Genomic DNA, 14,330 nt, shown 5'->3' with positions numbered 1-14,330 from the left:
GCATTTCTATTCTTCCCTTAAGGAAAACAACATATAAATAACAAAGAGAATGAGAAGAAAGAGTGATTTCATTGAGGTTGGTATTTAACATAAATTTGAGTGCAGGTACCATGATTATATTTAGAATTTTGTGGCTGGATGGGAAAACCACCTAGATATCTACAGATTTCCTACTCAAACACAATGTGCCTTTGTTTTATTTTTACGTCTCTAATTTAGCAATTATTGGGTACAACTGTATGCAGAGTCACTAAAAATACCTTCCAAAACCAAATATTAAATAATGTCTATGGCTCTCTGTTTTATAGTGTGGATTTTCCCAATATTAATGGGAACCATTGAGCATTTGCTTTGTGGTGTCTCCTCAGCTGTATTCACATATTTCATCACCTTTTCTTAATGGATAATCATGCACTACGAGTATGGGTTTTCAGAAAAGCTGTGTCATTTAAAGATAACACAGGAGCATCAAATTTAATTCTGCTAGAACACCTGGTCTACTGATTAACTGCAGCTAATATGGGGTCTACTTCACATACAAGTTAAATTCAGTGCCCTTAATCAGTCATATGATGAGGTCAACAGTAATAAATTATGCAATATTTTTTCACCCACCCCTATAGTTTTAATTTTTTTCCCCTTATGTCTGTAATTAACATTTTGTTTTGCAAAACATAATGATAATCTTCTAGAGTAGTGATGACAAGCTATAAATCCAAAGTTTCTTACCTATGCAAATGACTTGTTTGCTCTATTTTCTCATGAGCTTGGTAGATCCAGGAAACAGAACTTTTAAAACAAATCCCCATATGTTGCTGGGTGCGGTGGCTCGTGCCTGTAATCCCAGAACTTTGGGAGGCTGAGGTGGGCAGATAACCTGGGGTTGGGAGTTTGAGACCAGCCTGACCAACATGGAGAAACCTATCTCTACTAAAAACACAAAATTAGCTGTTCATGATGGCACATGCCTGTAATTCCAGCTACTTGGGAGGCTGAGGCAGGAGAATCGCTTGAACCCAGGAGGCAGAGGTTGCCATGAGCTGAGATCACACCACTGCACTTCAGACTGGGCAGGAAGAGTGAAATTCCATCTCAAAAAACAACAACAACAACAACAACCACAACAACCACCACAAAACCCAAAAAACTGAAACAGAAAAAGTGTAAAGTAAATACAAGTAACTGAAAGAGTTTATGTATATTATTTTACTTCTCATTTGATAAAATTTGTAAAGTAATGAGCAGAGTGTATTTCTCCAGGGACCCAGATATATACATTTATTCTTTCAATAGAAATTCATTCTTATAATGGCCACTGATACCTATATCCTAAATATTTCTGAAAACATCTCCTCAGGCCTGCATCATCTTTGCAACATTGCCTTATATTTTATCTTTGTTCATTTCTTTATATGCCTCAGAATTTTATGCTCCTCACAGTATTTAGAGTGAATTATCCCTAATGCAAATAGATCCGTGAACCACTCCTGAATACCTAATGTCCAAGCATCTTAAAGGTTTATATAAGGATTTCAGAAACTGACTTCTGGGTTGGGCACGGTGGCTCATGTCTGTGATCCCAGCACTTTGGGAGGCTGAGGCAGGTGAATCATTTGAGGTCAGGAGTTCAAGACCAGCCTGGCCAACAAGATGAAACCCCATCTCTAATAAAATACAAAAGTTAGCAGGCGGTAGTGGCACGTGCCTGTAATCTCAGCTACTCAGGATGCTGAGGCAGGAGAATTACTTGAACCTGGGAGGCCGGGTTGCAGTGAGCCGAGATCATGCTACTGCTCTCCACTCTGGGAGACAGAGTAAGACTTTGTCCCAAAAAAGAAAAGAAAGGAAAGTGATTTCTGCCCAAATCTCCATCTGTAGCCCTTTCCCCATCTGCCTTTTTCTCTAGAATTACTGAGCTGCTTGTAATGGCCCCCTTACCATTCCTCTTCTGCAGAGAAATACGTACTCTCTTGGAGGCTTCTCTCTCTCTCTTTGCTTCCTGGCATGTGCTCACTCTTTCCTGCCCTCTGCCTCACTTAATCTGGCTAACCTCATCTCTAAGTCTCAGCTCATGCATGATCTTTAGGAAAGCCATCCCTGACAGCTTTTATTTTCCTTCCTTATTCCCCAGTGCCTAACACCTAGCAGGAGCTCAATAACTAATTATTTAGCAAAATTAAGACTATTTATACAAACATGATTCAAAAGATTGTCCTCTACAGTCTGGCAGCAAAGGGGATCAACATGTAAAGACATGATGTGCAGTTCAGGTGGTAAAGTGACACTAGAAAAATTGACAAAGTGCTAAGGGACCCCAACAAAGCAGACACCTGTTTGTTTGGAGAAAGATAGTTAAAATCAAGGAATACTTCACATAGCATTCTGAGCCTTTTATTTTTCTGTTGTTGGAGACAAGTTCTTACTCTATTACCCTGGAGGGAGTGCAATGGCATGATTGAGACTCACTGCAACCTCAAACTCCTGGGCTCAAGGGATCTTCTCACCTAAACTTCTTGAGTAGCAGGGACAACAGGCACATATCACCATACCTGTCTAATTTTTTGTAGAGTCAAGGTTACCTATGGTTCCCAGGCTGGTCTTAAACTCTTGTCCTTGAGCAATTCTCCCATTTTGGCCTTCCAAAGTGCTGGGATTACAGATGTGAGCTATTATGCCAAGCCTACTTTCTGAGTCTTAAAAGATGAAAATAAATTTTTCAGAATAGCAGGGGAAAACATTTGTGATGTAAAAAATGGGGTGCACACTAATTGAGATATAAACAATGATAATTTTGCAAATTATTAGTAACTGCCAACTCAATTAGTATCTTGTTAAAAAGATACTGTTATGAGGTATAGTAAAGTGTTACATTGTGTATTTTGACTGTATTTCAAAATTCTGTTTTGTTTCCAACAGTTTTGTTCACTTACGTTGGGTGGAACAATTTGTGAGTGACCCTGAGATTTTGTATGGTTTGAATCTGGTGATATCTAGTGTCTCCCCAAGTGATTTGTTGAAGTTTTGGATAATTAGAAGTATTTCTTACAGAAGTAAATATTTCAGTAAACATTAAGCTTCATTTAAACTCTCAAAATATAAAGAAATGTTATTCTTTATTTATTTTTATAAAGATTATAGTCTTTATCTAACTCTTCTTAGTTCATTTGAACTAAACCAGTGAATTTGTCAACAGAACAAGCCTTACCAGTGGCTTCAGAGGAAGAGAAAGGAAGGTGTGAAAGAAGTGAAAAGAAGCAACCACAGGTATATGAAAATTTAAGTTTCTTGTTTAATATTAGTTTTTTTTTTGCTTTAGTAACAAAGCATAGTCCAAATGATATGACCTTTTAGACTATACCTTTACAATCCAATAGATCATAATTTTATATTTAATTTTTAAAACATTTTAACCAGTTATGAAACTTAAAATATTCTTACTATCTCTAGTAACTACTAGTTATTCTAGTAATTCTTACTAACTCTAATAACTCATAGCTGTCTTTACCCTTGGAATTGAGGCAAGAAATTTTCAGAATTATCTTGCTCTTTTATTTGTATAACCTTACTCATAATACAGAAGGTAACATGAAATATTGGGTCATATTATTAAGGAATAGAAATTATGAACAGTTTAACAACAATGTCCACTGAGTTAAAGTAGTGTTAAAGGAGTCATCGTTGCCAGTGGTTCAAATGTTGCAGTTTTATATTGCTGGTCACCAGTGCCGAGTTTAAAGATTTATTCTCTTTCGTGGTCACCAGTTGACTTCTGTGTCTGTGTTCAGGGAGTGAATGGGGTCATAAAAGTCAACCCAGTTGCCTATTAAGAGAATCCTACCTTGCAGAATGGGACCTTTGGTGTCAGGGTGCAAACAATAACTTTATTTCAACATAAATACATAGTAAATATTACTAAAATTTAAAAAATCCAAACCTTGTCACTACTGGAACATAAAATATATTAGAAGTGGATATAAGCAGAAATTCTATCTAGATACATAACACTATCATAGTATATCATTTGAATTAGAATTTAAAATTTTGCTTCTCTTTCTTATTGGTGTTCAGTTTGGCTCTTAATAATTTAGTGTTTGCCTAGTGCTCTAGTTAATCTTCAGAAACAAACATGCATTGTAGGGGCTCACTCTTTCTGGTATGCTGAGGTAAAGTCTTTGTAAGAGAGGAAGCTTTTATAATACTACCTATCATCTTTGAATTCATTTCTGGTAGATTTTACACATATTGCATTAAGTTTAGTACAAACAGACGCTGATAGTTCAGCTTGCTGGTTCATGTTTCTGTCCTATGTTAAGCCAAGGCAAATTATTTTTCAATTTTTAGTTACAATCCCATAATTTAAGAGTAGCAACACACAGATTAAGTTTCACAGTTAAAATTTAATTATTTTCTAATATTTATTTGTTTATACTTGATTAAAGCTAATTTTAAAACATGCACTCTGACAGAAAAGACATCTGAGAAACAAAACAAGCAAATTTGTTTTCCATTTTGCACCTGCCCCCCCCCCCCAAAAAAAAAATCGCAAGAACCAGAACTGGGTAAGAATTGTGATAAAGGGAATCTATCTATATATTCACGACTTTCTTTAAAATTCATTACAAAAAAATTCAAGCTGAATATTGGTAAAAGTTTTGAAAACTCCAAAATTACTGCTTGCCCTGAGGAAGAGCTCCTACATAGTAACTCCAAAGAGGGATGAACAAAAAAGGAGTGCCCTCTAAACTGATGAATCATGTCCCTGATTGTGAGGAGAAAAATGCATCTGGAGGATCTAACTCTGTGACAGTCCAGGCAGCGCCTGAACAGAGGAAGCCCATGTCAAATGTCTTTTTATTCCATTCTCACTGCAGGTCCCTGAAATACACTTACCAGTTATCTTCTAAGCTTCATTTAAATTAAAATAAATCAGACTATAAAAATGGTAACAAACCAGACACATAGCTTGTTTCTAATACAGATAATGAAAATTTTTGTTATGATACAGAAACTGGAAAAGTAAGGAACCCAGTAATTATGATTGGAATGAAAGATGATTAAGAGTTTGACATGCAAATGGCAAAAAATATAAACCCAAATATCACTAATTGGAAATTAGACATTAGGCATTGGCCTCAGTCTAGAGATCCAGAAAGTCTTTTTGATTTGTGGTTTACCCACCCCAAAGAAATGAAGCATATGATTCAGATACAAAGCCACAGGATTTCTGCTGCTATAGATACTTGTAAAATCAGAAAACCAATACAGTGCTTATTCCAGAAGCCACTATATGACAGTCCCAGTGCTAATAACTACAAAAGCATGAATCTTGAATTATAAAATGTGGCTTATTCTTTGCCACATAGTAAGAGAACATCAAAAATATAGCTAGAAGACTTACAGCAAGATATTCCAAGGTCACCAACATAGCTCATGTATACATATGTAACAAACCTGCACATTGTGCACATGTACCAGAACTTAAAGTATAATAATACTAAAAAAGAATTAGGTAGGCATGTTACAAGTAGAGTTCCTGGATTTGGAGAAAAAGAAAATCCAACTTCAAAAAGACAGAGGTTCACTTGCTGCTTCTTTTTTCTCTTTATCAATTATTTGATTTAGTCAAATTTTCCATTCAAGAAAATCTCATGTGTACAGTTACAGTGGGATTTTCTAAATGTGTAATTATGTGTCTAAGTAGATTAGTCCTGTTATCTAAACAATGGTTCTGGAGAATGTTCTCATAATGTTTGTTCATTAATCAACCTAAGTCTCACTCTCAGTCTTCCAAGTGGCATATGAGCTGGGAAACTAATTCAGCCATACACCTTGTGATGTTCTGAACCAGATCAACATAAAGAAATTGCTAAAGAAATAAGCTTTAGATTCTAGATTCTTTTTTCTGTATTCATTTAGAGATGAATTACATTTATTTAATGATAAAATGGAGATACAATGGGAGGGAAGCAATGACTGAGATGAGCCACAAAAACACGTCTAGCCTTGAGGGTTGCAATGAATATTCCCAGCCAAATGAGTCTGTTTAATGAGTTTTCATGCATGTAAGTATATCTGCTTAGCTCAAACTATTTGAATTTATAGTTCCATCATGGTTATTTCCAATACTTTGAAAACAAATATATATTTCCACATATTTAAAAAAATCACCACTCCAATATTTCTGTTGAATCAGACCTTGCATTATGTTGTTTAATAAAGTATGGTAAGTTTTGGCATGTATGATTTTTATCATGTAAGAAGCATAATTTCTTAGCTAAAAATTTAGCCTTTGACTCTTTAGTAGAAAGTTGAGTTCTGTACATTGTGTTCTAAAGATAGACAAAAATCTAGAGATTTTCTTCTTTCAAAATAAAAGCAGATGAGGCCTTTTTCCACCCTCTGAGGCGTTAAATTGCTTTGCTCAAGTTAGACTTTTAATATATCTGACTAATTTGATAAATTTATCTGGTAATTTATGTCATTCAGCAATATGGAATTGTATCATGTTATTTGGTGCCATGAAATGCTAGAGAATGCCACCTCAAGAGCTCTGGATGAAACGTTTCATATGTCTTGGTTGGTTTGACTCCCATTTTCAATAGATAATGGGACTAAAGTAGATAACTGTGCCGTATGTTTTCCACCTATAAACGTTTGTGGTAATTGAATGTGAAATCTGGGAAGCATCTCGTTTTCCAGAATTCTGCACTAGAAACTCAGCAGTTTCACTCTGCTTCTTCTGTTGTGGCAAACTTTGGTTCCCATAGTTCAGGGAGAAGTTTCACTTTTTTGATATCACAGGATTCAAAAAAAAAAAGAGAGATAAAAGGCAGTGGGGAAAAGAATAGCTCAGTGCAGAAAAGGGAAAACTTCTTTACTGTTCCTGAAGCCCTACAAGATCACATCCTCTTAATCTGGCTATTTCATGTAAAATCCAGGTGGCAATGACAGAAGATATATGTTATGCCTGTGTTTTTTTATTTCTCTGTTTCTGCCAGTCAGATAGCATAAACACTTATATCAGATAGCAAAGAGTGGATGGGAATAAAAACACAAAATGGAGAAGAGCTCTTTTTGAAATTTTGGAAAATTCTTCCATTCACACAAACAGAAATGAGAAGACTTGACAAAAATTTCAATGATAAAATGATGAGTATATTATAATTATAATAATTATGTATAATGATAAAATTAAAGTAAGCACAAAATACTTTTATCATTAAAATGGTGATAGTTAACCTGAATCAAGTGAAAAAATCAGGGAAAAAGTTTTTTATTGAATGAAATAATAACAATTATTATTCATATTACTTTTATTAGAGGTCAAAGAAGGAAATAATACAAACAAAAGTGAAAAAATACAAGTATCAGAAAATGTACATCATAGTACATCTTCTGCTGTTGCTGACAGATTAACCAAACAAAGAAAGATTGGGAAAACGTATCCTCAGCAATTTCCCAAGAAACTGAAGGAAGAGCACGATAGGTGAGTAAGCCTATAGCAGTGTGTTTTTTTTTTTTTTTTTTTTGAGATGGAGTTTCTCTCTTGTTGCCCAAGCTGGAGTGTAATGGTGTGTTCTCACCTCACTGCAACCTATGCATACTGGGTTCAAGTGAGTCTCCTGACTCAGCCTCCCTAGTAGCTGAGATTACAGCCATGTGCCACCATGCCTGGCTAATTTTTTGTATTTTTAGTGGAAATGAGGTTTCACCATGTTATCCAGGCTTGTCTCTAACTCCTGACCTTAGGTGTTCTGCCCACCTCGGCCTCCCAAAGAGCTAGGTTTACAGGAGTGAGCCACCGTGCCCAGCCACCGATAGCAGTATTTCTCAGCAGATAATTGTCATTGTGCTATAAACTAATTCAAAATTGGACTAATGTTCCTTATGATTAACAAGTTTTACAGTTTTACCAGGGATATTTAGCCCTGCCTGGTAATCAGAAAAATGCAAATTAATATAAAATAAGATATATTTAGTAAAGTCATGCTGATATTGAAAAAGTAATTACTACCATTGAAAATGTGAGGAAAAAGGCATTCTCATACACTGTTCATATATGAAATTGGTAAATTATTTCTGAAGGGTAACTTAGTGCTGTGTATCAAAATTTCAAATAACCTGACATCCCTTTAACTCAACAACTCCACTTCTGGGACTAGATTTCACAGGAAAACATAACTTGTGTAAACATACACACATTAAGGGCATTAATTATATATTACACATAATGAACAATAGCTTAATAAATATATAAAATATATGTAATAAGAAGGTGAATTGGAAGTATTAAGAAAGAATTATAAAAAGTGTGGGGAAACAGATGTTAGACTCTTTAACCTAGTTTTAGATGACAATCATCTGCAAATATAGTTTGTGTGAGAGACATCTTACTCTGTAAATCATTTGGAGAGACACCCGCAATATTTCATAGAGATAAAAATTTATTTCTAGTGAACTTATATGCTTGTCAATAAATAGTAACTTTAAAAATTTAGTTGATTGTAAATGACCTTTTCTAATCAGGGAGTAATTATGACTGTGTGATTTGAAAAGGTAATTTTGAACTTCTAACTATACTGAATTATTTCCAGTATCCTTTTTTATAATACTTACTAGAGTGACTAGTAACAAAAACTTTAGCAGAATATTCTTTCCTTACTACTTTTCAAGTATATGCATTCTTTTGAAGATGTTGAAGTGAGAAATTAAATATCTGAGAACTACAAAGGAAAAATAATCCAGAATATAGAAATTTTATTAGGATGATAAAGAGCATCTGCAGAGGTAGATCACAGGATGATCTCTTTATTTTTTAACAAAATGAATTTTCAGATAAATGTCTTTATCTGTAGCTGCATCTTAAGACAAGAAAATGAAGAAAAGACAAATGTTAATATGCTGTACAAAAAATAGAGAAGAATTAGAAAGGAAAGAGAAACAATATAAGAAAGAAGTTGAAGCAAAACAACTTGAACCAGCTGTTCAATCACTAGAGATGAAACCGAAGACTGCAAGAAATACTCCAAATCAGATAAATCAATCTTTGGTAAAAATTCTATATTTTAAACTTTATTTTATCAATGTTACTTATAATATCCTCTTGATTTAATATGTAATATTTAGGTCTAAAACAAACCAGAAATGTTATCTCATTTTTAAAAAAATGAATGATGACAGTTACAGGTACAATTATTAATATTTATTATAAATCTTGGCATCCATGTAGGTTATTATTTTATTACAAAGAGCTTTTGAAAACAATATTATGCCATAATATATACTTAGTGATAACCTATTGATAAAGATTTTGTTCCCAGTAAAATTGTTCCTTGTACTTCTCCCTATTTCATATTGATTACTGTACCTAATATTATAAAGAGGAAACAAATTATTGCAATCACAAATAATCTCATGATATTCTAAGAAGAGCTCTATAAATTTTATCTTATTTACCACTGGTGTTTTGAAATAAAAGTTTTCTTTCGTATTGATATATTTACACCACAGAAGTAACTGTGATCTGTCAGAGAACTAGAAGTAGAGTCAGAAGTCCTGGGGAAAATTCTGTAGCTTGCTTATATTTTCAACATTTCTTTTCAAAATTGTGGTAACTAGATGAGTTCATCAATGAATGTATATAGGAGTGACTAGTATAATGTCTAGATTTATGATTTAGTAAATGTAATTCTTACAACTGAGTATAAAAGTGTTAAAAGAGTCAAATTGAAATAGAATGTTATCAGTGAAACAGAACTGTAATAACTCTGGGAAATTTTATCTGTCCAAATACGTGTGAACTAAGGTTCTTACTATAGGATGGTGTATGAGTTAGATATCAAAGGGTAAATGCAATTTTTTGATATATTTTAATTTAGTCAAATTTGTTAATGCTTTAATTTATGCTTTTGAGTTTGTTGTAATTCCGGGAAAGGCTTTTCCAATTCTGAAATTCTTAAAAGTTCTCTGGTGTGCATGTGTGTATACGTGTTTACTTTTATAAATTCATTGACTTTTAAATAAATTTCTAAACTTTTTGGAATTTATGCTCTATAGGGTTCAAAGTTTTGCTTCAACTTTTTCTCTAGTTGGACATCCACTTACAGTAACCTTTTTAGTGTATGGATGCGCAGGTTATTCTTTAACTTCAGAGGTAATCATGATATGTTATTTTATTGAGTACTAGCTAAAAGTTTCTTTTGTTTTATTTAGGATTTTCATAATCACGAAGAAATAAAAGATCTGATGGATGAAAATTGCATTTTGAAGGCAGATATTGCTATACTCAGACAGGAAATATGCACAATGAAAAATGACAACCTGGAAAAAGAAAATAAATATCTTAAGGACGTTAAAATTGTTAAAAAAAACAAATGCTGCCCTTGAAAACTATATAAAACTCAATGAGGAATTGATAACAAAAACAGCATTCCGGTATCAACAAGAGCTTAATGATCTCAAAGCTGAGAATACAAGGCTCAATTCCAAACTGTTGAAGGAAGAAGAAAGCAACAAAAGACTGGAAGCTGAAATTGAATCTTATCAGTCTAGACTGGCTGCTGCTATAAGTAAACATAGTGAAAGTGTGAAAACAGAAAGAAACCTAAAACTTGCTTTAGAGTGAACACGAGATGTTTCCGTACAAGTAAAAATGAGTTCTGATATTCCCAAAGTAGAAGATAAGAATGAGTTTCTTACTGAACAACTTTCTAAAACACAAATTAAATTCAATACCTTAAAAGATAAGTTCCGTAAGACAAGAGATACTCTCAGAAAAAAGTCATTGGCTTTAGAAACTGTCCAAAACGACCTAAGCCAAACACAGCAGCAAATAAAGGAAATGAAAGAGATGTATCAAAATGCAGAAGCTAAAGTGAGTAATTCCACTGGAAAGTGGGGCTCTGTAGAAGACAGGATATGTCAACTCCAATATAAAAATCCATGCATTGAACAGCAACTAGATGATGTTCATCAGAAAAAGGATCATAAAGAGATAGTAACTAATATCCAAAGAGGCTTTATTGAGAGTGGAAAGACAGACCTCATGCTAGAAGAGAAAAATAAGAAGCTAATGAATGAATGTGATCATTTAAAAGAAAGTCTCTTTCAATATGAGAGAGAGAAAGCAGAAAGAGTAGTAAGTATCAAGGAAGATAAATATTTTCAAACTTCTAGAAAGAAAATTTAAACATTTGGTTCTGGATACATGTTGAACTTAGTGGAATATAAAAATCAATGGATAAAAGTGTGTTTACCATACTGTATAATTCCATTTACATGAAGCATCCAGAAAAGATAAATGTATAGGGACAAAAAGTAGATTAATGTTTGTAGAGGGCTGGGGCTGGAAGCTGGTAGTGACTGCTAATGGGCGTGAGGGATCTTGCAGTGATGGAAATTCTCTAAAGTTGGATTGTAGAGATGGCTGCACAACTCAGTAAATGTACTAAAAATCTTTTAACTTTAAGTTAAAACAGATACATTCTATAGTATGTAAATTATATTTCAACAAAGCTGTTTTAATAAAAAAAGGAAAAATGTGTTTACTATGCCATCTTAGAAACATGCCTCATTTCTAGGAAATAAAAGGTAGAGGTGAGAGATGATTTACTTTGAGAAAAGACATTGTGTCACCTATGAAATTTTATTAGGCACAAAGTCATATTTTAAGGTAGATAGTTCTGTACTGCTGAAATAATAATTTTAATGACTTTATGTTGCCACATGTTAAGACCATAATATAGGTATAAATGGAAATGTTTACACCTGAAATGAGTATTTTCAAATTAAAATTTAATTGATTTTCTTCGACACTTAATTCTAGATTTCCCAGATGAACTGAAGTGTATTGCTGTGTCTTGTAATACCTTGCTTTAAGTAGCTTTTTATGTATTTTAGTTGGTATATCTTTGTTATTATTCATATTAATTTAACAAATCTGAAAATATGTCAAATTACATATTTTTATGACTATGTAATATTTTAAAGGCACCTACTTGTTATAAAATCATAATTTAGGATACATGTGGTAATATTTAGAAAATCTATATTTGGTTTAGTCTTCCCACTGGTATTTATAGTTTACTTTGAATATTTATATTAATAATTAGCTGATAATTTTTATTTCAAGGCTCAATGACTATCATTGGAATATAATTTTGTTCAGTAGAAAGATACTTGTAGCTGCCTGTGATTTATGAGTTAGGCATTAGATCCCTATGTTCAGACTGAGGGGTGGCAGGCTTCACGTACAGTGGGAATGGAGTAATCACAGGAGGGAGTTGTAGGAGCTCTGAAGTCAGAGAGGGAGGTAAAGGCCTGTTTACCTAGGATCTCAAAGGCCATTGGAATTTTACTTTTATTCTGAGATAGGAATCTGTTGGAAGGATTTGAACAGGTGATTGAATATGTTAGGAACTTTGAGGTTGAGTTGAGCTTCTAAGATGATTGAATGGTGGGATGAATCTGTTGTGTAAGTAAGAGAATACCAATTTGGCAGGAAGAAAACATATTCTGCATCCCTCACTGAATTCAGTAATAAATAAAAAATGTGTACATGTGATTAAAAGAAGGTGAATTGATATGTGTGGTGATAATTTTCAAAGTAGGTATGTTAGAGTTAAATATTATTAACATAATTTAATAATAAGGCAATTTATAAAATTAGTAACAAAAATATTTTCTCAGGTGGTTGTGAGACAACTTCAACAAGAAGCGGCTGACAGCTTAAAAAAATTAACTATGTTAGAGTCTCCACTGGAAGGTATATCACATTATCACATTAATTTGGATGAGATACAGGCCCCAAAGAAGAAATTATTTCAAGTGGAAAGTCAGTATGTATGGAGCTTAACATGTCAACTGTATTCTGTAGCTAGTTGAATTATATAACATGTTTTAGGATACTAATTTTGGCAGAAGCTTGATTTTTTATTTTCATTACAATGAATTATTTCCATTTTACTATCTTTATAATGTACTTATTTTTTTTATATTGTGACTTTCATTCTACCATTTTGAAAAACCATTACATACGTTTTCTCTTACAATATGTACCCTTGGAAAAGTTGAGAATTATACATCATTCCTCATAGAAAACTGACTTTTTTCCTGTTAAAACAGTATTTTTAAGTAATTTTTGTATTTCTCGGATGAGGCAGGCCAGATTAAATCAGAGGAGAATGTTTCATGGAATGTTCCAGAAAATTGTCTTATTTCTTCACTTTTGTGAATGGACACAGAATCTGTGTCTATTTATTTCACAGATTCTAGGTTAACTTGTACAGAAAGGCCATTATACTATTCTTTGAAATGTGCATGTTTTAGGTTAATTTACAAACTATTTGAAAAGTTAGGCATTTTCTTTGTCTTTTATTTAAAATATACTATAAAACTGTAGAAATATTTAAATTTGAGATAGCATGTACATCAAAAATTGAGAGTTGAGAAAATTATCTTGATCCTGCCTTTGGATTTTAAAAACAGTTTCACTGAGATAACATTCACATTTCAGAGAGTTCAACCATTTAAAATGTACAACTCAGTATCTATTAGTATATTCACAGCATTTTCATCACCCTGGAAAGCAACCCCACATCTCCTAGGCATGACTGCAGCCTTCCTCCATGTCCCTCCACCTACCCCTGTTGTAGGCAACCACCATCTATCTACTTTTGTCTCCATATGTTTGCCTGTTTGGCATATTTCATATACATAGAGTTATACAATATTTAGTCCTTTGTGACTGGCTTTTTCACTTAGCATAATGTTTTCAGAATTCATGTCTGTTTTAGCACACTTTGGTAGTTTATTTCTTCTTATAGTTAAATGATATTCTATTCCATGGCTATACTGGTTTTCCATTCATTCATCGATTGATGGACCTTTAGGTTAGTTTCCACTTTTTAGCTATTATGAAAAATGCTGCTGCAAACATTCACTTACAGGTTATTATGTGGACACGGGTTTTTATTTCCCTGCCATTGGACTTTATCCTCAGAGTTAATTGGGCAGATATCAGCACTTGTCTTGCTTATGCTATCCTTTCTGCCTTCTCAGTCTCTGTTCATCTAGCCTCATTCATTCAGACGTGGCAGACAATTTATTGTTTTCATGAAGCTTTCTCTGAGTGTTCTCTCATTGACTTTATGCGTTAGCAATCGTTGTCTAGTCTGTGCAGAAAAACTTAATCCTTAATTTTACATGGCTTTTATTTTTTTATGGAAGATAATTTTCTCTCATTATAAATTTGCTTAATGGGGGAATAATATATAATATGTATGCCACCTATCCTTGCATACATTGAAAATATTTTAGCTTAGAAGTTTGCA

The 14,330-nt window shown here is 33.3% G+C and overlaps 1 pseudogene across 1 annotated transcript in view; it reads left to right on the top strand.

Annotated features, from left to right (window-relative positions):
* Positions 1–11,801, top strand: part of ANKRD20A21P (ankyrin repeat domain 20 family member A21, pseudogene) — a 42,705-nt pseudogene extending 30,904 nt beyond the window's left edge. Inside the window, exons 10-13 of the transcript XR_002958558.2 lie at positions 3,194–3,264; positions 7,323–7,486; positions 8,856–9,049; positions 10,213–11,801. The product of XR_002958558.2 is annotated as an ankyrin repeat domain 20 family member A21, pseudogene (transcript). The remainder of the gene's footprint in view (positions 1–3,193; positions 3,265–7,322; positions 7,487–8,855; positions 9,050–10,212) is intronic.
* Positions 11,802–14,330: the final 2,529 nt, after the last annotated feature.

The sequence above is a fragment of the Homo sapiens genome, chromosome 20 (assembly GCF_000001405.40).
Source record: "Homo sapiens chromosome 20, GRCh38.p14 Primary Assembly".
In the NCBI taxonomy this organism is placed as follows: Eukaryota; Metazoa; Chordata; class Mammalia; order Primates; family Hominidae; genus Homo; species Homo sapiens.
The sequence above is the reverse complement of the archived record's forward strand: the minus strand, read 5'-3'. Positions and strand labels throughout refer to the sequence as shown.